The sequence below is a fragment of the Homo sapiens genome, chromosome 17 (assembly GCF_000001405.40).
Source record: "Homo sapiens chromosome 17, GRCh38.p14 Primary Assembly".
Taxonomy (NCBI): domain Eukaryota; kingdom Metazoa; phylum Chordata; class Mammalia; order Primates; family Hominidae; genus Homo; species Homo sapiens.
The window spans coordinates 64,966,349-64,987,918 of NC_000017.11; the positions used below are offsets into that span (position 1 = coordinate 64,966,349).

Sequence of the window (21,570 nt, forward strand, 5' to 3'; positions counted from 1 at the left end):
ACAGGTAAACGGGATCAGGATCTACGACATAAATGAATCAAATTCACTGATTTCTAAGATTATTTAGACAGTAGAAAATTATTAATCCTTTTTATTAGTTCAATACTTCATTCAGCATTTGCAGAGCAAAATCTGCTTGGATTTATTTAGTGAAAATTATCTTCTAAAACTACAAAGATTTAACCACAGTACATAAAATTTAGTTGCAGTAGGCAAATTATATTTTTAAGCTGAACCCTAAGAAATTGTCCAAAAATATGTACAATAGTTATGCACAGCACTTATGATTGCTGAATAAATGCATCATATAAAATTTAGTTCAGTTTTTAGCAAGAGTGAACGATTTCTTAGATGATTTTTCTCCTGGTCTCATAGTGCAGAGTATTCACAAATGGACCTTATATCTTCTCCAGACAACCGTCATCCCCAATTTATTCACCTAGGCAAATCTTAGTTCAAAAGAGTTTGTGAGAAAGGCTGACCTACAGGACTAAAACCGTGCTTACATTGTAGGAAAATAAAAGAAAATGTAATCGAATGGACAATAATTTTTAAAGCACATTATTCAAGGAGGAATAAGCCCTGTAACAGAATCCATAAAACACCATGCTCCATCAGTCTCTTTTTGCTAACAGAATGACCAAGTATTCTCTCCAATTAATTTTAATAGCAAACCACCATTTCCTAAAATGACTTAAATGGGTTCAATCAAGTAGGAGAATGAATCCAAGGGAAACCACTGACTAGGGGTATAAAATGTGCCTTACATCATATTGCATACATCAAACAATCAAAGAATTTAGGCTTCAAATTACAAGAAAAAAAAATACCTTTAAGTCTTACCCTCAAGGTAAGATAGGAAAGTGGGAAATGCTGTCTGCTCACTGGCATTCCATAAAATATTCACTGTAATTTCTGGATTTCCAAGACACATCTATCTAGCAGAGGTGGTTTGTCAAGTCTGAGCTTTTCCACCTGTCCACCCCTGTAGCAATGGGGCTGATGTTCACAACCTGCAGACCATCATCAGCATTCATGGCACCCCGACAGATAACCCCATTAAACTCTCTCCCTGACTCAGGTAAACACTTCACAATGTGAGAAGGTGAGAAAGACATTATTACTGAAATAAACCTGAAAGCTGCTCTAAGTCTATAGAGAAAGTGTAACACTCACAAATATAAATACCATTACACACTATTTGTAAGATCCCTCATAAATGACTATGTTATAGCTGAGACCTGCAACGGAACTCCCACCACCAAATGTTGTGGTAGTGTAAGGACCATTGTTATTTTCACTTGCAAATATTCCTGAGAGGTCGTATTTTAAGCTGCTAAAAACTAAAACAGGAATAAGGTGACAACCAGCAAAAGAAAAAAAATGAGCTAATGCACTCGAGAGAGTAAGGAAGGCTCACGGAAGAGGAGGGCTGTGGTGATCAGAGTCCACGGACGTCCAAAAATGTGACTTGGCTGGCCCTAACAGAGGGGAGCAGCTCTTCTAAAAACAAAATCACCCCCTGGAAATTATGTTGGTTGGTTCCTTGGGGCATCTACAGTTCTTTTTCAAGTTATTTACTTGCTCATTACCGCCAGTCCCAGCTTTCTTGGGAGACCTAAACATATTTGGGGAATGGAAATAATGTGCTTGCTGCCACAGACCAGGCCAGTAAGATGAGAAGATAAAGAGTTTCTAGAGTTTTTATTATTCAAAATGAGTTTCATTTCAATTCAGGTACTTGAAAGAAGGTTCTAGTCTGTTACTTTGACACAGCACAAGATCAATAGTTTATTCTGATGAAGTATTCCACCCAAATGAAAGCATAACATGCAAGTAGTCATTTATTTCAATCACTCCTATTTGAAGGTCCTTATTTTTGGAGAACAGTCAGGCATTTTATTATCCACTCTTTCCATTCCTTAAAGGCTTCCTTCCACGGGTTTCAGTAAATTCCCATTATCCTCACGACTGTGTTCTGGAGTTGCTCCAGGTGTGCCAGAAGATTCATCATCAATCCACCTCACCAGTGCCTGGAAAAGCATTGAAAGATGCGCACTTCAACAAACCACAGCAAAATACCATCAGGCAAGAGAGAAGCATTGGCTTCTAGATCATAGGGTGACATATTACCCCATGAAGACGCTGCATTTGATAATGATGCTGTGAATATGAATAATGCTAATGATATACTGAGTGAAATGGCACGTACCAAATACACACAGAATTACAAATGATGTCAAAAGTACGCACTGAAAAAAGATGAAAAAGAAATACACTCATTCTTATACTTTGTTTCTAGCATGATAGGATATTTTTTCTCAACTTGCTGAATATTCTACAAGGCATTATATTAATTTGACATGTATGTATATACATATATAAGTGTCCACACAGGCATGGGTAGACATATGTATGTGAAAACACATGTGTAGACATTTCTGTGCAGTCACCTGAATGCAGTCATACCCATGAGTAAACACATGAATGTATATTGATGTTTGTGGGCAAGTGTGGGCACACACACACATACTGAGATTAGGTACTTTCCTTCTTCCTTTTTAAAGAAAATCACTTTTTTCCTCCTAATGAACATCATACCTCTGTCCCATATTTGGAAAGATAAATCCTGTCCTCACACTTATAGGGTTTAAAAAATGAACTTTGCCACACATATCAATATTTATTCAGTTTTGCAAAGTCAAGCTCTCTTGCCCTAAATGGAAGAGAAGCAGAAAATTTCTTCCACTATTTCTCATTGAACTGTAAGCATAAATCACTCTAAGGCAAGCTGAAGTTTTTAAGAAGGGCATTTCTTCGCATGTTTTTAAACCACAGCTTCCTGCTTATCTTTACACTAATTTCCTCTGATAAATTATAACTCTAGAGAAGGATATAATAGATACATCAGTTTGCTACTCAGATAACCACTTCCCCCTCTTTACACTATCCATCCCTCAACTTACTTTATATCTTTCTACAATGCTGAAGCCAATAACAGCACACTGCAACTTGTGCAAACAGATAGGGCAAAGGTTTAGAGGGCGCCGGTCAGCTTCTTCCAAGTGGAAGAAGCCCCAGATTTCCCTATCAAAATCCTTTGCTGCTATCCACCATGCCTTGTCTTGTAAAACTTAATGGGCTGGAGGTCAAATACTTGAGAAACTGAAGTTTCAGAGTCTTTTCCCACAAAAGAAGTCTTTTTCTGAAAGTAGCAAGTACTCCAAATCAAGTACTCAAAAAGGAACCACAAAAACTAATCACATGGGTCAGGCATGGTGGCTCATGCCTGCAATCCCAGCACTTTGGGAGGCCAAGGTGGGCGGATCACCTGAGGTCAGGAGTTCAAGACCAGCCTGGCTAACATGGTGAAATCCTGTCTCTACAAAAATACAAAAATTTGCCAGGCATGATGGTAGGCGCCTATAATCCCAGCTACTCAGGAGGTTGAGGCAGGAAAATGGCTTGAACCCGGGAGGCGGAGTTGCAGTGAGCCGAGATCCCGCCATTGCACTCCAGCCTGGCGACAGAGCGAGACTCCATCTCAATAAATAAATAAATAAATAAACAAATAAAATAAAATAAATCACATCAACAATAGGCAGTCATGATTTCACTCTTTAAGGACACGCTAAACAGATCTGTTACACGTGTGCCTGGAGGGGTTGCTGGCCTTCCCTCACGCAGCACTGACTGAGGACAACTGCCCTGATGTCTTGAAGCCCATGCTTTAAACCACGGCTTTAGACAGAATAACCTCGTCCCCTTCCCCACCCCCACCCCCTTTTTAAAGAGCAGCTCAACTCTATTCTGTCACTAGTGTCTGGTGACCAGAATAAATACCCTTGTAACTGACTTCCTGTGTTACATTTAGAGTTATATCAACCATCTCTGCAAGCACAGAGAACACGGTTTGCTACGTAACTCACCCTACAGGGTACTGCTTCACAATTCGACTTGTTTACATGATCACTTTTATTTATGTCTCTCGTTCAGTTTTTATTTTAAAGTAATAAATTTTTAAAGAAAATAACCCATGGTAGGTTTGTTCAATCTAATTTGATTCAAAAACAACTTCCTCACCTCCCTTTACCCAGAAAATGTGGACTGATATTCGAAAATTAGGGAAAATAGCATTCTAGAAGTTAAGAAAACACTAAATCTATTCATGTATCACAAGTAACCCCCTCTGGCCAATCAAGTGTGAGCATATTTCACTACAGTAATACTTTCAGCAAGGACATTTCTTTCTTCCAATAATCCTACAAATAGAAGATTATTTTCTTTCGTAGTCAATGCTTCTCAATTTAAAAATATGAATCTTTGTAAACTTGGAGAAAACAAGACCACTGTGTTAAGATATTGTCACTGTCTAATCCTGCCACTTTCCTATGTAAATCTTTCATGTCATGTAATATTTAAGAAACTTACAAAAAAAAGAATTAAAGTAAAAACAGTTTGGGGAAATGTTTCCTGACCTCCTCAAATACATAAGATAAGTTAGCTAGTAATATCTAGATAAACGAACATATGGTTTGAAAATTATTTTTTTAGCTGGGTGTGGTGACTCACACCTTTTATCAAAGCACTTTGGGAGGCTGAGGTGGGAGGCTCGCTTGAGCCCAGGAATTCAAGATGAGCTTGAGCAACACAGGGAGATCCCATCTCGACAAAAAAAATAAAATAAAATAGCTGGGTGTGGTGGTCCTGTGGTCCCAGCTACTCAGGAGGCTGAGGCGAGGCAGGAGGATCCCTTCAGCCCAGGAGGCTGAGGTTGCAGTGACCCATGATCAGCCTGGGTGATAGAGGGAGACCCTGTATCAAAAGAAAAATGAAAGGTAGATAAAATTAATTTTTAATGTTTCCGTCTCTATCAGGTTAATAATAAGAGAGAAAACTTATGATAAAAAGCTACCTCACACCACCAAAATCAGTAAGAGAGTAGTGACCCACGTCTCCAAGACTGCATGTTGGTAGGGCCATGGGGGGCCACAAGTAAACCTCACATAAATGGAGAATAAAGAATAAACGAGTAAGTGGGAAGAGGCTCTATAGCCCTACAGCCCCCACCTCTAGTAGAAACATTTGTCCCAAAAAGCTTACCACCCCACACAAATCCTAAGGCTAATGTAACATCCAGACAGACCATAAACTCTCAGGATAGTCCCTGTACTTACTCCCCATCCCCAGAACACTAATGAACCACTCCCCTTAGGGGGCCTTTTCCCTTTCAAGTCTGTCTTGGATTATTGGGGATGAAGTTAGAGAAGTAAGAGCAAAAATGAAGGGGAGGGGAGAAGTAGAGAGATGACAAAAAAAGGTTAAAAATATAACCTGTTTCGTGAACCTTTCCCATCCCCAATATTACCATGCAGAGTTCCTAATGAGTCAATGTTTACTATGTATCTCAAATCAAAGATGGAAGTTTTTACTTTTTAAATTAAAAAACAAACAAAAAACAAATGTCGTATGATGAGAAAGAAGCAACACTTAGTCTATGGCTATCCTAACTGTGCAAGATGACTATGAAAAGAATTGAAAAACAATTAGCAAGATTTTCACATCCATTAATGATAGCTCAAACTGTAATTGGCTTAATTCACCTTGCTACTGAATTACTGACGTTTACTAGCTGTTATGCTGAATGCCTATATATGTGCCAGGCCTATATATGCTTTTTTTTTTTTGAGACACGGTCTCAATTTATTGCCCAGGCTGGAGTACAGTGGTGCGATCACGGCTCACTGCAGCCTCAACCTCCTGGGCTCAAGCAATCCTCTCGCCTCAGCCTCCTGCATAGCTAGGACTACAGGTGTGTGCCACCATGCCCAGCTAATTTAGTTTTTTTAATTTTTATTTTTTGTAGACATGTAGTCTCACTATGTTGTCCAGGCTTATCCACACTTTTTATGTACAGGCACTTTTATGTAAATTATCTCCAAATGACTCCATGATGTGGGTATTGTTACCTTTAAGGTCCTGTAGGTAGTGAGTGGCCAACCAGAACCTAGATTATCACAATCTACCAACAGCACACTTCCCATTATGGCATAATGTCTCAACTGAAAATACTATAGTTTTAAATATCAATATGATTCTTGGTTGGAATTTTTTTCCCTCTTTTAACATCTTCAAATATTCTCAAGTTGAAGAAGCTTCTAACAACAATGCCAAAAACGGAATACCATCTGTCAAAGAGGCCTGTCCAAAGACAAAATTCCACAAGTCTCTTGGGTAAAGATCAATCATTGTTATTCCCACAACACAGAAGGCATCTTCAGGTTTCTTCTTTTTCAAGAACTTCAGGATGTCCCCTATTTAAGAAGAAATACATAAATGTATGAGTGTATATTATATACATATGCTTCCTTTACTCAGTTCAAATTGCAAAGTTGTGTAATTCACCTGCATGAATTTGTAGGTTTTGTGTGTTCTCATTGACTCTAAAGGAACACCTTGTTGTAGAAACAGGAACTGGTTCTAGCAGTTTTACTCTCAAGCGATAGAAATATGCTTTACAGTAGCCCGTGAGCCATTTAATATATTCTTCACTGATAATTCTGGTGCTTCATAGAGATCCTATAATATGGAAGAACATTTAAAAACAGACTTTAAGACGATTATTCAGTGTTTACCCAGTCTATGAGTAAGAGGATTCAAATTAGAAACAAAACCAACTCTAAATTTTCAATACACCTTTAACATTCATCGGTGTTGATATGAATTAAAAAAAAATGTTCTAGGTCTGTTTGGCTACAAAACTTGTACCATTGCAATGAATATCAAAAATGATCCTAAAATGGCCCATCTGAATCAGACCAATAGCCCGGACTATTCCTGACAACAGAACCATTGCAAAACCGAACCAAAACTAGCACATTACCAGTATTTACCAATGGACCGTATATAAATACTGCGTTTGTCTGGAGAGGGTATCTTTCTGTAAGGATGACTGAAGAACTGTTCAAAGTCTTGGGGGGCCTCAGGGTGGGAGGTGATCCAATCTGATGGAGAATGCAAGGTCCAAAGAGATCACTGGCTGGCTGGAATGCTTCATTCATTAAACGCTGTTCCCCAGCATCTACTTTCTCATACTGTGACACAAGCACTGGATTCTTTGAGATGACAGCTATTTTTAGTGTCTGTTCGGAATACCGTACTATTTGCATCTAACAAAAAAATACAAGCAGTCAAATATAAAAATACATATCCATATTGGGGACTTTACCTATTCTCCATATACAGCTCTGATTTCTCCCTAGAGTGAAATGACTGACTGCTAATGCTTTAGAGTGGTCACACTTAGAGTGGTTTCCTCATGTCCAATCAATTTCTTGGGGACCTAAGAAATTACAAAGACAATCATGAAATCCATTCCTCCATCTCATATGGAACCTGCTCCCATTACAAAAACTAGTGGTGGCCAGGCGTGGTGGCTCATGCCTGTAATTTCAGCACTTTGGGATAGGAGGACTGCTTGAGGCCAGGAGTTTGAGAACAGCTTGGGCAACATGGTGAGACCCTGTCTCTACAAAAAACTTAAAAATTCCCTGGGCATAGTGGTGCACACCTGTGGTCCTAGCTACCAGGGAGGCTGAGGTTGCAGTGAGCCATGATCGTGCCACTGCACTCCAGCCTGGGCAAGAGTCCAAAACAAACAAAAAAATCTCATGGTGACCATAGGAGCAGGACCTCACACCCAATTTCCTTCTTTTGGGGAATAATATTGGCCTGGCATGGTGGCTCATGCTTATAATCCCAGCACTTTGGGAAGCCAAGGCAGAAGGATTACTTGAGCCTAGGAGTTTGAGATCAGCCTGGGCATCATGGCAAAACCCCATATCTACAAAAAAATTAGCCGGGCATGGTGGTGTGCACTTGTAGTCCCAGCTACTTGGGAGGCTAAGGTGGGAGGATCATCTGAGCCCAGGAGGTCGAGGCTGCAGTGGGCTGTGATCGTGCCACTGCACTCCAGCCTGGGCAACAGAGACTTTGTCTCAAAAAATCATATTATGAATTAACTCATTAGTGCCACATGAAAAATACTCCTCGTTTCTAGTGTGACTCAAAGATCTTCAACATCAAATAAAAACAAAACTAATGTAAGCCCTATCATTTCTGCAATTTAACTGCAGGCTGAGAAGCTACGGCTTAGTCACATCACATTAGGGAAGACATCAGATGACTAATCAAAAGCCAGACTCACAATGACAGGTTTCTTCCATTCACATCGTGTTCCTATGTAGAGTTTTCATCCTTCCTCTTGAAAAGGGTCAGATGTTCCACCACGAGACTTTTTGAATTACACAAGGAAAAACCTGAACATCTCTGTCTGGATCATCTCTGTCATATTTTCTAATTATCTAGATTTTGCCAGTTTAATGATAGACAACTGATGGGAAAACTTAAGCTAATGTCTGTTCTGATTGAACCTCTGAATTCTGGGGTTGAAGAGGCTGGCTGAAATTCCAGATCAAATGTCTCTGTACTCAAAGCTCTGATAAGAGCATAAGCTCATCCTCACTCCTACACAACTGGGCTGAAATCTGACTTCTACAGGACAAAATATAAAACCAGATGTACCTTCCAGTGGTCTACCTACCTTGATTAGGAAGGAAGGCTCCCATGGAAGCTTTTATCTCACAAGGACAGACATGTCTGGGCCTGGCCAGAAGGAAGTTGTGGAGTGTGCCTTCATCTTTATATTAACGAAGGCAGTGAGAAAAGTCAGGAGGCCTCCCCTTGCCTCCCAAGCCTAATCTAGGGAAGCTGCGGGAGAAGATGGGCAGGGGGCGCACAATATGGTCACTGTGGTGGGCTGGAGGCCTGGGACGCTGTGGTCCCAAAACCAGAACATCTCGGGCCAACCGGGAGAAGTTGGCCACCCTAGCTGGTTGCCTACAGCAACTCGCACTGTGGGCTCTGGTCCGTGCAGGCACAACCCAGGCTCCGGCTGGGGGTGGAGTAGGGCTTCCCCGGGGACTCTCGCTTCGCCTCTTCTTCCCCCAGGAGCCTCTGGAAAGGCCTCCCTGGCTCCCCAGAGGCACTCCGCCCCCGCAGTCCCCGCGGCTTCCGCCACGTCCGTCCCTCCTACATCCTCATCCCTCTCCACCGACCGCGACTGGCGCCCGCCTCTACGACCCGGCTGCCCCGCCCAGCTCTGACAGCACCTGCGAACCGCCCTGACCCAACAGGCCTCGACACCACTCACCCGCGACATCCCTCACGCGCGTGCGCACCGCGTCTCTTCGCACTACGCCACGCCCACTGGCGCCACGCCCCTTCGCGCCGCGCGACGCGCCGCTCCATCGCACACGCTCTCTGGGCCCCGCCCCACTCACGACCCGCCCGCGCCACGCCCCTGAGCGCGCCAGAGCTGGAGTTCGGCGGCCGCGGCTCGCCTTTTCCTGAGTAGAGGGTCACGAGGGGACTACAAGCCCCAGCCGTCCGCCCCCGCAGTCGCCAGTTCCCCGTCTGCCCTCGCCGGGGCTCCGCGGCCTGGTTCTCCAGAGCCACAGACGCGCCCGCGTCACCAGGGTCGCCCGTGTGGGAACGTGCTCGGCAGGCCGCGGGTTTGAGAGGCGTCCCGGCGTGACGAATGCAACCAGCGTAGCCCCCAAATGAGTCGGCGGCCGCCGCAGGTTGTCGTACAGCCGCGGCGCTCCCTGGGGCAGTCACCCAAAGGACTTTCCCTTCTTTATTTGTTGGGGGCGGCGGGGACTGGAACCCAGACGCGCAAGTGTGGGGCGTGTCCTCGTGGCGTCCCTGGCGCTCCGAGGCCGAGACCCGGATGCCAGGAGAGGCAGTGAGGTCGGAAAGGCACCGCGGGGCCAGCATTAGGGCTGAGCTAGTTCTGTGGCCTCGGGTGGGACGTTCAATCTCTCTGGGCCTCGCCATTCTCTTTCTTTTTATTGCTTTTTGTTTGTTTGTTTAAGACGGAGTCTCTCTGTCGCCCAGGCTAGAGTGCAGTGGCCCAATCTCGGCTCACTGCAACGTTTGCCTCCTGGGTTCAAGCGATTCTCCTGCCTCACCCTACCCAGTAGCTGGGACTACAGGTGCCCACTATCACGTCCGGCTAATTTTTGTATTTTTAATAGAGACGGGGTTTCACCATTTTGGCCAGGCTGGTCTCGAACTCCTGACCTCAGGTGATCCGCCCGCCTTTCCCTCCCAAAGTGCTGGAATTACAGGCGTGAGCCACCGCGTCCGGCCTCAGTTCTTTTGAAGTCATTTTACCATCCTCTGGATTTTCCTCATCCTAATTCTCCTTCCCAGTCTCCAGGAAAGACAGGCACATTTTCTTGATGACTTCAGCACTTGTAACCCCTTGTTGGCTCTCCTTAGAGGACATTAACTCTGTGTGTTTGAACCTTTCAACTTCGAGGATCTCCTCAGCCCATCCTTATTTGTTCACCCTTCTGGATCATGAAATCTCCAAATTTGTCTTTTGAACCCAGTGCCCATATCCACCCTCACCTGAACCCATTCTTGAATAAAATGCATTCCTACCATGACTGTTCTCAAAGTTTGAAGTTGAGCATACCGATGCGCCACTCCTGCTTCAATGCTTGAGAAGTCGTAGGCTTTCTTCTATGTGCCTTTTGACTGGGCGCCTATCTCCCGACAGCCTGAGGTGGTGTAGCATAGGGGCGAAGGTGGTCTGTGCTTGAATCCCAAAACCCTCACTAGCGTGGGACCTGTGCCAGTTACTTGACCTCTTTTTCATTTCTTCACTAGTTTGTAAAACGGACACAATTACAGCACATCTTTTATTGTTATTATTTGACACGAAGTCTCACTCTGTCACCCATGCTGGAGTGCAGTGGCGTGATCTTGGCTCACTGCAACCTCTGCCTCCTGGGTTCAAGCGATTCTCGTGCCTCAGTCTCCCGAGTAGCTGGGATTACAGGCACGCACCACCACGCCCGGCTAATTTTTGTATTTTTAGTAGAGACGGGGTTTCACCATGCTGGCCAGGCTGGTCTCAAACTCCTGACCTCAGGTGATCCATCTATCTCGGCCTCCGAAAGTGCAGGGATTACAGGCATGAGCCACCGCGCCCCGCCTACAGCACATCTTAGCAGAATTTTAGGGATCAAATGAGTTCCTTTGGATACTGTGCCTGTTTTTGACTGAACGGCTGTCTTCTGACATCCTGAGTGGCTTCTTTAGCTTAGTTGTCACCTCTTCTATAGCCTCATCCTGCCTCATGACAAAACTTCTCTTCTGCCTGTTCATTGCCTTGTGTGTACGTAATAATACTGCAGTTGTCCTTGTCACAATGATTGGAACCTATTTCTTACATGTCACCCTTACTCAACTGCGAGATGCTTGAGGGTAAAGACTCTCATACGGGGTGTCTGAAGCATAAAAGGTATTCACTAGATTTTCAGTCAGTTTTTTTTTTTTTTTTTTTTTTTTTTGTTGTTGTTGTTGTTGTTTTGAGACGGAATCTCACTCTGTCGCCCAGGCTGGAGTGCAGTTGCGTATCTGAGCTCACTGCAAGCTCCGCCTCCTGGGTTCAGGCCATTTTTCTGCCTCAGCCTCCCGAGTAGCTGGGACTACCAGTGCCCGCCTCCACGCCCAGCTAATTTTTTTTTTTTTGTATTTTTAGTAGAGGCGGGGTTTCACCGTGTTAGCCAGGATGGTCTCGATCTCCTGACAGTTTTTTGGTATTCATTAAAAAGAACTTCATTTTGCATTTAAACTGTTTAAATTTCTGAATCGTGAACTTTGTACTTGCTCAAAAATTTTAGGATAGCATGTTTCTGCATGGTCTAATATTTATTTTTTTAAAAAAACTTACCAGGCGTGGTGTCTCATGCCTATGATCCCAGCACTTTGGGAAGCTAAGACAGGAGGATCACTTGAGCCTAGGAGTTCCAGACCAGCCTGGTCAACATAGGGGGAGACCCCATCTCTAGAAAAAAAGCCAGGTGTAGTGACACATGCCTGTAGTCTCAGCTACTTGGGAGGCTGAAGTGGGAGGATGGATTGAGCCTGGGAGGTCGAGGCTGCAGTGAACCATGATTCACAGCACTTTAGCCTGGGCAACAGAGTGAGACCCTGTTCAAAAAAGTAAATAAATAAACACCTTAGTGCTTCAGGGGGGTTAGTTTTTTTTTTTTTTTTTCATTAGAAGGAAAAGACACTTTCTCTTACTAAGGTATTTTTGCCTGTTAACTAATATGCAGTTGCAAAATGAACCATAGGCTGTTTGCATTTCAAAGAACACTACAAGTTCTGATATTTAGAAATGAGTGTATATGCCAGTGGCCCAAGGTTGGAAAAGAAAGTTGGTAACAACATTAGAAGGTGGCAGAAATCAGGAAAGAAATGTAACATATACGGCAGATGAAGGGTTTAAAAATAGCTTTTACATATCAACACGGAAAAACACCATGACATAAAAATGAGCAAAAAATATGAACCATATAATCCGAATGGTTCATTAACATCCATGTGTTCAACTTTATTGAACACATGAATGAACTCAAAGGAAAACCACTCTAATAATGTTTTCTTACCTGCTAATTTGGCCAAAGTGTTTATTTTGAAATAATTTCAAGCTAACAGAAAAGTGGCAAAAATAGTATAAAGAATCCCTGCATTCTCTTCACCCAGATTCCCCAGTACTTAACATTTTACCTCATTTCTTTATCATTCTCTTTCTTTCTGTGTCTTTATCTCTGTCTCTCTCTATATGTAAATGTACATTGTTTCCCTGAACTGTTTGAGAGTAAATTGCAGGCCGGGGGCGGGTGCAGTGGCTCACGCCTGTAATCCCAGCACTCTGGGAAGCTGAGGTGGGTTGATCACTTGAGGTCAGGAGTTTGAGACCAGCCAGGCCAAAATGGTGAAACCCAATCTCTACTAAAAATACAAAAATTAGCAGGGTGTGGCGTTACATGCCTGTAATCCCAACTACTTGGGAGGCTGAGGCAGGAGAATCGCTTGAACCCAGGAGGCGGAGGTTGCAGTGAGCTGAGATCACGTTATTGCACTCCAGCCTGGGCAACAGAGCAAGACTGTCTCCAAAAAAAAGTAAGTTGCAGACATGATGCCCTGGACTCCTAAATACCTCATAGTATATTCCCAAAAATCAAGCACATTTTCGTAAGTAGCCACAGTACAACTAAAACATGAGTCCATACTGACATTTCCAATTCCAGTCCAGCCTGACACCACAGAGTTCATTCATTCTAGCCTTCCATTTTTCCATATGTATGATGTCCTTCATCAGTAGAGAGAAACCTGGCTCCTGTTATTCACAATTTATTTATTTATTTGCTCTGTACTAGAATATGTACTAAAAATAATTTCAGAATTCCTAATCCATAGCACTGCAGGAAAACAATTCTACCAATTAGTATGTATTTAAGGTTCTTTATAGCCAGAGGATATATATTAAAATAACTGTGTTCAAGTTACCTACCTAGGTTAGTTCCCCCTCCCAATTCTGCCCTTCAGTGTAGTATTGTTATTAACATGAAATATAGTTAGGTTCATTTATTTTTGTTTGCATTCCATTTTATGAATTTCCCCCCAACCTTGATCTTTTTTTGATTGTGTGATACATTAACATGGTTACTAAAAAGTTGTATTTGATGATAATGTCCAATGATGGTAGACTGTCCTGGCGGAGTGTATAAACAGGTCGAATCTTTCTGGTGAACAACCTGACATGGAGTATTAATAGCTTTTAAAATGTTCATACCTATTGACCCAATAAGAGATCTCACAGACTTATGGTTAAGGATAGTCAACAAAATATTATTTATAATTATGAAAATTAGAAACAATCAAAATATCCAGCTATTGGAGACTGGAAAAGCATAAATTATTAATCATAGACCATAAATTACATGTACATTCATATGTTAGAATACTAAGCATCTATTTAAAATCATTTCTCAGCTGGGCACAGTGGCTCATGCCTGTAATCCCAGCACTTTGGGAGGCCAAAACAGGCTGATCACCTGAGGTCAGGAGTTCAAGACCAGCCTGGCTAACATGGCGAAACCCGGTCTCTACTAAAAATACAACAATTAGCCAGGTGTGGTGGCACATGCTTGTAGTTCCAGCTACTCAGGCGGCTGAAGCAGGAGAATCGCTTGAACCTGGCAGAAAGAGGTTGCAGTGAGCCATGGTCACACCACTGCACTCCGGCCTGAGCGACAGAGCGAGACTATCTCAAGAAAAAAAAAAATCATTTCTCAAAGACAGTAGTGACCTAGAGAAATGCTAAGGGGAAATAAAGTGTGACACAGAAATGTTTACACGTTGTAATTTTTTTTTTTTTTTTTTTGGGACGGGGCCTTACTCTGTCACCCAGGCTGGAGTACAGTAGTGTGATTACAGCTCACTGCAGCCTGGACGTCTCAGGATCAGGTGATTCTCCCACCTCAGCCTCCCAAGTAGCTGGGATTATAGGTATGCACCATTACACTTGGCTAATGTTTTGTGTTTTTTGTAGAGAAGGGGTTTCACCATGTTGCCTAGGCTTGTTTTGGTTTTGAACTTCTGGGCTCAAGCCATCTGCATGCCTCCACCTTCCAAAGTGCTGGGATTACAGGCATGAGCCATCTTGCCTGGCCTATATGTTGTAATCTTATTTTTGTTTTAAAAAGATGTGCTTGGCCGGGCATGGTGGCTCATGACTGTAACTCCAGAACTTTGGGAAGCTGAGGCAGGCAGATCATCTGAGGTCAGGGGTTCCAGACCTGCCTGGCCAACAAGGCGAAACCCCATCTCTACTAAAAAATACAAAAATTAGCTGGGCATGGTAGCACACGCCTGAAATCCCAGCTACTCGGGAGGCTGAGCCATGAGAATCACTTGAACCAGGGTGGCGGAGGTTGCAGTGAGCCAAGATCGTGCCACTGTACTCACTCTGTGTCCAAAAAAAAAAAAAAAAGAAAGTGCTGATAAGTAATAATCTATGAATAATGAGATATTTGGTGGTTTTGATTTCTCTCTCTCCTGCTTTACTTGTTAATTTGCCTTTTCCAAACTTTCTACAATAAGTATTATTACTTTTACAGTCAGAAAGCAATTTAACAAGTCAGTAGTGTATTAATATTTAGGCATTCCTAAATATACAAATGACCCTTGGGCATAACAGCTTCTCCATGTTTTCTAGGTGGTTCTCTGCCTCTGTCTTTCTGCCTAGGCTTTCAGCTGCTCCTCAATCTATTTTTCTATGGTCTCTGAATTTTACTTACACCAACATACCACTAACTAGAGATTCATTTAGATTAACAACCAAGCCATCCTTTGTCTTCCTAATTTGTTGACTTTATTTTAAAATTACTTTATGGACCGGGTGCAGTGGCTCACGCCTGTAATCTCAGCACTTTGGGAAGCCAAGGCAAGCGGATCACTTAGGTCAGGAGTTCGAGACCAGCCTGGCCAATGTGGCAAAACCCCGTCTCTGCTAAAAAAAAAAAAAAAAAAAAACCACACAGAAGATTAGCCAAGTGTGCCAAGTGTGGTGGCACACACCTGTAGTCCCAGCTACTTGGGAGGCTGAGGCAGGAGAATCGCTTGAACCTGGGAGGCAGAGGTTGCAGTGACCTGAGATCACACCACTGCATTTCAGCTTGGATAATAGAGCAACACTTGGTCTCAAAAAATAAATAAATAATAAAATTACTATATATATGAAAATATTCCAAATATACATTTTTAAAAGCTAAGAAGTACTAAAAGCATTGTAATGAAAAGTAATAGTCCCCACCCCATAGGCCAACTTCCTAGAGGCTACTGTTCTCAACTCCTTGGCTGTTTTTTCTGGTATTTATCTCCATGTTTCTCAACAATGTGTGTATAGTGAGATTTCTTGATCTTTTGATTTTAGGTAGCATCTGTTAATTTATTGCCATGAGAGATGAGGACTTAACTCTCATACATCATACTTTCTACCTCTCATTCCTCTGGTGATTATATCACACATTTTGGTTGAATCTGGTGGTCAGTGTTTACATTATGATGATTATGCAAACATTGTGTACTACAGAGCCAAGTAGTGTACTATGACCATGCTTTCTTTCTTGTAGAACCTCTTTATTTTTGCCTAGAGTTAATCATCACTTGATTTCTATTATTTATTTTCTTTTAAAAAACTATATAACATGCATGTGCCTTATTTTTTATGATTCTCTGATTCTTTACTTTGTTTTTTAATGCTTCTCTACATGGCCCGTTTACACTAGTTACATTTTTTTTCTGGGTACCCTCATCTCCACATTCCTATCTATACTGGTCATCCATGGGCCTACTGCATAGCTGTTCCTAGGACTGCAACTACACTTTGCTCTGTTGGATCCCCTGTTTCTTAAATTACTAAATTCTGTCTTCCTCTTTCCTGGCCTACTCCTTTGGTTTCAGTAGCACATCCCCAGAACCTTCTGGAATAAAGGTACATAGAGATAAATATTTTGAGAACTTTGACATCTGAAAATGTTTTTATCCTGCCCTCATACTTGATTGAGAATTTATTGAGTTGGTGTGGAATTCTAGATTGCAAATCATTTCCCCTCAGAATTATAAACAGTTTGCTCCAGTTTCTTCTGACTTCCAATGTTGCTACTGAGATGTTCAATGCCATTTTGATTCCTAGTTCTTTGTATGTTATCTGTTATTTTTAGGAAGATTATAGGGTCTCCTTTTTATCCTTAGCGTTCTGAAGGGTTATAAAGATGTGCCTTAGCCTGAACCTTTCTTCTCATTCATTTTGTGGCTCACTTAGCAGGCCCTTTGATACTGAGACTCTTATCCTTTCATTCTGAGAAATTTTCTGGTATTATTTTTTTGATAATTTCCTTCCCTCCATTCTTGCTGGATGTTGGACTTTCAGAATAGATCCTCAAATTTTCTTATCTCTCACATTTTTTCCATCTTTTTGTACTACATTCTGAAGTTTTTATCAATTATTTTTTTTCTTTTTCTTTTCTTTTCTTTTTTTTTTGAGACAGAGTTTCGCTCTGTTGCCCAGGCTGGAGTGCAGTGGTGCGATCTCAACTCACTGCAACCTCCACCTCTTGGTTTCAACCAGTTCTCTGCCTCAGCCTCCCTAGTAGCTGGGATTACAGACACCCACCACCACACCCAGCTAATTTTTTTTTTTTTTGTATTTTTAGTAGAGATGGGGTTTCATCATCTTGGCCAGGCTGATCTTGAACTCCTGACCTCGTGATCCACCCATCTCGGCCTCCCAAAGTGCTGGGATTATAGGTGTGAGCCACTGTGCCCAGACTTTATAAATTATCTTCTATCTTTTCTTTTGAATACTTACTTTAAACTATTCTGCTTTTCAATAGCCAAAATCCCTTTCTTGTTATGATTATTTTATTTTGCACCCTGCGATGGTTTGAATGTCTGTGTCCCCCCAAATTTCTATGTTGAGACCTAACCCCCAACGTGATAGTATTTGTAGATGGGAACCTTTGGGAGGTGATCAGGCCATGAGAATGGAACCCTTATGAATAGTATTAGTGCCTTTATAAAAGAGACCCAAGGGAGTCAGCTCACCCCTTCCTCCACGTGAGGCCACTGCAAGAAGACACTATCTCTGAACCAGAAAGCAGGCCCTCCCCAGACACCAAATCAGCACCTTGATCTTGGATTCCAGTCCCTAGAACCATGAGAAATAAATTTCTTTGTTTATAAACCACCCAGTGTATCATATTTTGTTACGGCATCCTGAAAGTCTAAAATACATCCTATTTCATGGATAAAATGCCTTTTCTTATTTCTCTATAGATAGTAACTATACTACTTTTGAAGATTTGTTCTGTTGTTTCCTCTGTTTTGGTCTTTTTGTTTCATGTTAGAACTTTCCATAAACATCTGGTAATCTTTGGCTATCTGTTAAGATTTCATTATGAGGCACAAAAAACTGGTGGGGGGTTCTGTGTGCATGAATGTGGCTTATTCTCAGAGGCAATCTGGCAGATAATCAGCTTATTCACTGAGGGGATTCTCCCCAGTGTCTGAACTTGAAAGTTTCTTCTCTGCGACCATTGCATTTTTTTTCCAGAGTAGGATCATTTCCTAACTGACTGCCAGTGTTCTGGAAGCAGGTGCAGTGAAGAGCCTAAGAGTCCTACTAATGTGTGTGTGAATTCCGAATCCTTAGTCACCGTGTTCATCCCTAACCCATACTGCCACAAGGACTCTCAAGTCTCACAACTAATTCATTTTAACATGAGAAGATATTAAGAGGGTTAAGAGGTTCTCCATGATTCACCTACTAGTGTGAATTCATATCTTCTCCTTTTGCTTTTCCCCTGGCCCTTAGCTGATATCAACTGCTCTGAGGAAATGGAAGTCTGATTGGTCAGGAAGCAGGAATAGTGGGTAATTTGGGGTCCCAGACCCCCCTTAGCAGGCAAGCAGCCCAGAGGTGGGTAAAGCACTTTAGGAAAGGGTGCTGCAATCCAGGGACTACGGCCCTGGACCTGGACGCCAAAAGGGAGTTGAGAAAGTAGAAAAGAAAACTACTTATGCTTAAATTGTGCTCAGAGCCAGGTCTCTATGCAAAGGAGCAGCAGGTGACCTGATTTCTCCCTCCTGCACTGCAGAGAACCTGCCCTCAAAGACCCAGAGCTCAGCTTCAGTAGAAGTTGAACAGCACTGTGCGAGCGAACCTGAGAACCCAGTCACCCTGAGAAAAACGGTTTCTAGGAGAAAACACATTCTTTGATCCAAACAACCAACTTACAAATGATCTTTTGGACCACGTCCTGCCTGCAAACTGAGGCTCAATTCACCTTTAATGGGCCAGCTCTGGCAGTGCCAAGGGAGAGAGGCCATTAGCAGAAATGAAAAAAGCAAGAAATCTTTTAGTCCATTAGGTTAAAAGAAGATTTTTCATGCTTTATTATTTATGATTTGCGACTTCAGTTACTGTTTCCTGGAACAAATGTTATGATTCAACTTCTATTTACTGAAGCAAATAGATGCTTATCAGCAGTCATGCTACAAATCACAAAGCAGTCAGTAAGGCCTTTGGGGCTGTGGCCTCTTTTGCAATTCTTTGATGTCTTGTCAGGCAACTTATTTTCTGTGCCTTAGAGAGTTTCCAAAAGCTACCACAATCTGATGTGTGTGTGTGTGTGTGTGTGTGTGTGTATACATTTGTGTGTGTATATCTACATGCACTCTTTCTGTCTCTCTTTCTCTCTCTCTCTATATATGGCATATAAATACAGTAAATTCAAAGAATTGAGCAAAAGCAGATTTTGGTTTTTACTTTAAGAATATCATTTCACTTCCTGAAAAATTAGGAATTAGGAGTCCTAAGAATACCACATAGCATTTAGGAAGACTTGAGTGGGAGCTAAGAAAGTTCGAATGAGGGGAGGAAGAAAGTCCCTGGTCAGCCCGGTATAGTGACTCAAGCCTGTAAACCCAGCACTTTAGAAGGCTGAGGTGGGAGGATTGTTTGAGCTCAGGAGTTTGAGATCAGCCTGGGCAACCTAGCAAGACTCTGATCTCTATTAAAAAAAAGAAAGAAAAGAAAGCCTGGGCAGTGGCCTCAGTGAACCCTCGAGGATGCTGTGATCCTCTTGGTGACGTCCCCAGCCTCTGCTTCAGGATGACAGCATGGTCTCCTGCACCATAGCTCGGTCTGAAATTTTCGGTTTTTCTTTCAAGTTCCCCTTTTTCAGTCTTCAAGGGGGATGGAGGAGGTGGCCTGAATAAGACATAAATGAAAGAGGAAGTGTCTCAGCACCAACCAAACGTAAAACAGCGACAGCGACCCACTTAGCTTGTGACCTCTACGGAAATACTGAAGACGTCCTCTGTGTCCTTTTAGACTTTCTGGGGGAGGGGACAGCTGCTGCCCAGAAGCAAGCAGCTTCCTTTTGGCCAGGTCAGTGCAGGGAACCAACAAAGACAGGGACCTGTGGCCAGAAGAAGCACAGCCACAGCAGGTATCTGATTGGACTGAGCCAGGAAAGGCCTTCTTGCCCTTAGGGACCCCTCAAAGCTTCTTTCCCACAAGCTGGAAACTGCTTGGCTCACTGCTGTCCTAAATGCAGGTGCCAGCCGAGGGGGTTACCCTAGGACCGTGAGCCATTAACAGCTTGTCTCAAATACGCTTCTCCAAGGCAGTCAGCGACTCCCCACTGAACACCTGTGGGTTCCTGCTGGTGCTAACTTAGGCACAGGGCTAGCAGGTCCCTCCCCTGTAGCAGATGATGAGAGCAAGTGTGGTGCAGGAGGAACTGGAAAGAGAGCATCGTCAGAGGCGACACTTGCGTGGATTAAAACCATATATTCTTGTGCAATGTAAAATTGCCAACTTGCATCAGCATAACGAAGGACACACTTAGAATAGAAAAGCTGAGGAGGACAGAAGAATAGGAAGAACAACAAAATCATGCCTGGTCCTTTTGCCCAGAAATGACCCATGTGAATCTTGGCTGAACTTTTAGACTTTTTCGCGGTGCACATTTCTGAACATAATTTGACAACGTGGGACCTCTAGAATTGTACATTCTAATTTTTCAGTCCATTTATTTCTTATTCCAGAAAGAATCCATATATAAGGATGGCTCATCACAGTGTTGTTTTTAATTGTGAAAAGCTGAAAAATGGATGCTCGCCACTAGTGTTTATAAATAAATTCAATAAAGTTATGCTCTCACAATAAAATATTATGTAATCATTTAAAAGAATAATCTCATGCTCTGCGTATTATCATGGAAGGATGTCCACAAGGTCTTGCTGAAATTTTTTTAAAAGTCCCAAAACAGTGTATATATAATTTGAGACTATTGATATAAAAATATGGGTGTATATGTGTGTAAAAAAAGATGTTTGGGCCGGGCACGGTGGCTCACGCCTGTAATCCCAACCTTTTTGGGGCTGAGGTGGGCGGATCACTTGAGGTCAGGAGTTTGAGACCAGCCTGGCCAACATGGTGAAACTCCGTCTCTACTAAAATAAAAATAAAAAAAATTAGCTGGATGTGGTGGTGCATGCCTGTAATCCCAGCTACTCCAGAGGCTGAGGCAGGAAAATCGCTTGAGCCAGGGAGGCGGAGGTTGCAGTGAGCCGAGATCTCACCACTGCACTCCAGCCTGGGTGACAGAGCGAGACTCCATCTCAAAAAAAAAAAAAAAAGGATGTTTGCCAAAATGTTAATAATGGTTGTCTTTAGAAGGAGGGCTTTTTGTGCTGTTTACTTTCTTCTTGATATTTTTTAGCAATTTGTTTTTGCAATGAGCATTTACTAGTTTTATATTTTTTAAACTATTTACCTTGAAAAAATTAGGTAAATCTATACTTACCATATAAAATACATTTATTTTGTAGTGAGTGAAAATGAGGGTTACAAAATATATACATAGTATAATATCATGTTCATATTTTATAGTTTTATACATAAATTTACATATTTTAGTTTAAGTGTTTATAAATACAAAAATACATTCACACATTTGAACATATATATAATATGCATATACATTTTACATGTATATATAAAAAGTTTTAAAACATATATTTTTATTTTTTAAGATTACTCTTTTTTTCTTTTTTTTTTTTGAGACAGAGTCT

At 42.2% G+C, this 21,570-nt stretch overlaps 1 pseudogene across 1 annotated transcript, besides 7 other annotated features; it reads right to left on the minus strand.

The window, feature by feature from the left end:
• Nucleotides 202-9,237, minus strand: AMZ2P1 (AMZ2 pseudogene 1; annotated as a pseudogene). The gene is made up of 5 exons (NR_026903.1): nt 8,207-9,237; nt 6,894-7,169; nt 6,406-6,579; nt 6,186-6,314; nt 202-2,033 (listed from the first exon to the last, which is right to left on the minus strand). The product of NR_026903.1 is annotated as an AMZ2 pseudogene 1 (transcript).
• Nucleotides 8,063-8,357: a silencer, noted in NCBI's record as "tiled region #14154; HepG2 Repressive non-DNase unmatched - State 4:PromP". NCBI's record gives its function as "represses a minimal TATA promoter and a strong SV40 promoter by Sharpr-MPRA in HepG2 cells {active_cell/tissue: HepG2}" and the evidence as "EXISTENCE:reporter gene assay evidence [ECO:0000049][PMID:27701403]".
• Nucleotides 8,907-9,106: a silencer, noted in NCBI's record as "silent region_8856". NCBI's record gives its function as "represses an Ori minimal core promoter by ATAC-STARR-seq in GM12878 lymphoblastoid cells {active_cell/tissue: GM12878}" and the evidence as "EXISTENCE:reporter gene assay evidence [ECO:0000049][PMID:35858748]".
• Nucleotides 9,287-10,157: an enhancer, noted in NCBI's record as "H3K27ac hESC enhancer chr17:62971753-62972623 (GRCh37/hg19 assembly coordinates)". NCBI's record gives its function as "activates a minimal SCP1, AML or CMV promoter by ChIP-STARR-seq in naive H9 embryonic stem cells {active_cell/tissue: H9 hESC(naive)}" and the evidence as "EXISTENCE:reporter gene assay evidence [ECO:0000049][PMID:30033119]".
• Nucleotides 9,477-9,546: a silencer, noted in NCBI's record as "silent region_8857". NCBI's record gives its function as "represses an Ori minimal core promoter by ATAC-STARR-seq in GM12878 lymphoblastoid cells {active_cell/tissue: GM12878}" and the evidence as "EXISTENCE:reporter gene assay evidence [ECO:0000049][PMID:35858748]".
• Nucleotides 18,558-18,837: an enhancer, noted in NCBI's record as "active region_12603". NCBI's record gives its function as "activates an Ori minimal core promoter by ATAC-STARR-seq in GM12878 lymphoblastoid cells {active_cell/tissue: GM12878}" and the evidence as "EXISTENCE:reporter gene assay evidence [ECO:0000049][PMID:35858748]".
• Nucleotides 19,455-19,754: an enhancer, noted in NCBI's record as "active region_12604". NCBI's record gives its function as "activates an Ori minimal core promoter by ATAC-STARR-seq in GM12878 lymphoblastoid cells {active_cell/tissue: GM12878}" and the evidence as "EXISTENCE:reporter gene assay evidence [ECO:0000049][PMID:35858748]".
• Nucleotides 20,035-20,084: an enhancer, noted in NCBI's record as "active region_12605". NCBI's record gives its function as "activates an Ori minimal core promoter by ATAC-STARR-seq in GM12878 lymphoblastoid cells {active_cell/tissue: GM12878}" and the evidence as "EXISTENCE:reporter gene assay evidence [ECO:0000049][PMID:35858748]".